This window comes from Homo sapiens, chromosome 1 (genome assembly GCF_000001405.40).
Source record: "Homo sapiens chromosome 1, GRCh38.p14 Primary Assembly".
Classification (NCBI taxonomy): Eukaryota; Metazoa; Chordata; class Mammalia; order Primates; family Hominidae; genus Homo; species Homo sapiens.
Genome location: NC_000001.11, coordinates 50,331,061 through 50,334,039, shown reverse-complemented (window position 1 = coordinate 50,334,039; position 2,979 = coordinate 50,331,061). Strand labels below are relative to the sequence as shown.

At 53.6% G+C, this 2,979-nt stretch overlaps 2 annotated features.

Annotated features, from left to right (window-relative positions):
- Positions 652-1,152: an enhancer, noted in NCBI's record as "H3K4me1 hESC enhancer chr1:50798560-50799060 (GRCh37/hg19 assembly coordinates)". NCBI's record gives its function as "activates a minimal SCP1, AML or CMV promoter by ChIP-STARR-seq in naive H9 embryonic stem cells {active_cell/tissue: H9 hESC(naive)}" and the evidence as "EXISTENCE:reporter gene assay evidence [ECO:0000049][PMID:30033119]".
- Positions 769-968: a silencer, noted in NCBI's record as "silent region_862". NCBI's record gives its function as "represses an Ori minimal core promoter by ATAC-STARR-seq in GM12878 lymphoblastoid cells {active_cell/tissue: GM12878}" and the evidence as "EXISTENCE:reporter gene assay evidence [ECO:0000049][PMID:35858748]".

The window sequence follows — 2,979 nt, the reverse complement described above, 5'->3', positions numbered from 1 at the left end:
AGCTGAGGAGAGGCAGAGCCAGGACTCATGCAGTCGGGCTCTGCAGTCCATGCTCTTAACCACGACCCTGTGCTGCTCTTACTGAAGGCGGATTTGAGGACCTGGCTTCACGCACACTGAGAAGAGCGTTTAGGTCCCTAGTGCTGGTCCAGGCCGTGATTGAGCCTCTCTTCCCCGAGTGAGCACAGAGCGCGGGGTCTCCCCCGAGGGTGGAAGGGTGGCAGCCAGGCCAAGGAGGCGCGAAGAGCGGCGGCCGCCAAGGGCCCCGGAGCGGCGACTCTTCCTTCCGCCAGTAGGGGGCAGCCGCGGCTGCCGCCGGTGTGTCGGGTGAGCCGCAGCCCAGCGCCGCACGCAGCGCCGGAGGAGCGCCAGAAGGACCCTTGGAGGTCACGCGCGCGCAGGCGGCCCTGACGCCCCGTCTTCCGCCCAAGTCACCCAAGGGTCCGTGCTAATGTGGTGTGGCCCCACCCCATTCCCTCGTCCCCAGCTCTTCCCTAAAGCCCAAGAGGCCAGTTCAAGGAGCTCTAGAACCCAGGTGGTTTGGGCCCCTGCAAGGTTCCGCGGGAGGTGTGGGTGCCAGTCCTGGCTGTGCCACTGCGGTGCTGTGTGACCTTGGGCAGGTCGTTACCCTCTCCAGCCCCAGCTCCCGTCCACTGTCCTTGGGAGGACGCGCGGGCAGCCGACACGTTCTGTGACTGTGGTGAGGGTACCGCCTTCACTGCAGCGTGCCCGGGGCCTAGGCGGGCCAGAGTCGGCCCAGCCCGAGCGAGAGCCTGTCCTGGAACCCAGTGCGTGTGGGGTCCGGACCCCTTTCCCGGAGCACTCGCCGAGCCGGCTGGGAGCGGAGCGCCCGGAGCCCGGCAGGGGGCGCTGCCGCATCGTGCGCGGCTTCCCCGCGCGTCCTCCCAAGGACAGTGTGGACGCGGCGAGCGGCGCGGGGCAGTGCAGGCTGAGTGAGGTCCGGCCGCGCCCACACCAGCGCTGCGGGGCGGAGGTCGGCAACACCGTCTGGGGCGTCGACGGGGCAGGGCGAGTCGTCTGGCGCCCCAGCTGGCCTTTAGCTGGTTTCTGGTTCTGGGTGTGGTTCTGGGTGTGGGGTGACGGGGTGGCGGGGTGGGGATGGGGTCTACCAAACCAGCGCTGGGGGCCCAGGCTTTGCTGCGTGACCTTGAGCGGTCACTGTTCTGTCCGGGCCTCTGCTTCCTGTCTCTGTAATGGGGGGTTCTTGAGGAAACCAATTCATATTGTATGTGAAAGTGCTTCAGGAAATCTGAGGCCCAGGCTGGATGCAAATGGAAAGGCTTCTTCTTTATGGAAAAACAGCCATCTCCTGCCTCACCCAATCCATCCTCCCAGTTCTGCACTCTGATGGCAACCACTTTAGCCACTTTTACCTGTATTTTCTGGCATTTACCCTCATACTTCAAAATAATATGCTCATGCTGCGATTTCTTAATTTACCAACGCTAGACTTTATCTGTTGTCTCCCTGTTAGAATAAATAAGGAATTAGCTGTCTTCCAGCCCCATGCGCATGCCCGGTATATCTGAAGCACTATTTTTAGGTAATTCAGTGATCAGCATTCCTTTTAAGAAAATGTAGCTGTTAGTTTTCCCAAAACCTGTATCAAAACTGCCACGGCTTCTCATCCTATAGCTTCCCGACAAAACCTCCTCTGTCATGTTCGGTATTCTGCCTTGAGGAATGCTCCCTCCCAAACTGCACTACCCAGCTGTCTGCAGGAACCCTCTGGTCCAAGGGTGTCTCTCCAGGATCATTTCATGGTCCTCTGTCTCTATTGGTTTGCTCCCTTCTTTTGAAAACTTTAATTGCTTCCTAAGAAATTGGGCAGGGGTGGGGGAATTTTCATCCATGTGGACTTTTCCGTATTCTGCCCTTGCACTTGATCAATAATTCAGCTAAGCATAGAATTCTGGGTTGGAAATCATTCTCCTTTATACATGGGTGCCTTGCACTGTCTCGAACACCTAGAGTGACCCTTGAGAAGCTTCATGCCTTCTGATTCATGTTCCTTATGTGCAGCTTTTCTTTCTCTCTGGCTGTTTTTGAGGATTTTTTTTTAATCTTTGGAATTCTGGAATTTCACAAAACTTGTCACGTGGTGGCTTTTATCATTCGTTGTGCTAGGCTCTGGGTGGCCCTTTTCAATGTGGAAACTTGTCTTTTAGTCCTGTGAAACTTTATTTTTCCTTAGTAGTCTTCTGTCTGCTTGCTCTCCACAACTCCTGCGAGTTGGAGCTTGGGCCTCCAGCCCTGCTTTTCCTGTGTCTTTTCACTTTTCTGTATTTCCCTTCTGCTTGTCTTTCTCTTCTACTCTCTAGGCTATTTCGTTATATATATGTCCCAACCATTCTACTGAATTTTTAATTTCAGCTATCATACTTGTTCATTCTCTGTTCTTCCTTCCCCCCACCCCACAACATAGATACAGCCTCTGTATTTATCTCTCTGAGGATATCAATAGTGATTTTTTTCCCTCCGGTTTGCTGACTTATCTCTGTCTCCTCCAGCTTCCCTCTTTTGTTTGGTTGCTTTATTGTGGTCTCTCTGTGGTTCTGCATCTCTCCTCCTGTTGGTTGGAGGCTTCTTTAATCTTTACTGGTCCTTGGCTTTTGTCCATAGTTAAGGATAAGTGTCCAAGAAGTTGACTGGCATTGGATGTCTGTGAAGGCAGATGGGGCTGATTTCCCTCTGGGTGGACCAGACAGGACTTGGCCTTTTGTTTTGTGGGGGGGACACATAAATATCAAAAAAGGGGAGTTCTTTTCTTTGGGACTGCCCTGTTTCTTCAGTAAGGTAGGATGGATGTGGTGAAGAGGATGGATTCTGGAGTCAGATCACTTGGGTTTGAATCTCAACTCTGCCACTTTCTAGCTATATGACCATGGACAAGTCACTTAATCTTTCTCTGCCTGTTTCCTATCTGTAAATTAGGCCTAATAAGAATAGTACTGCATG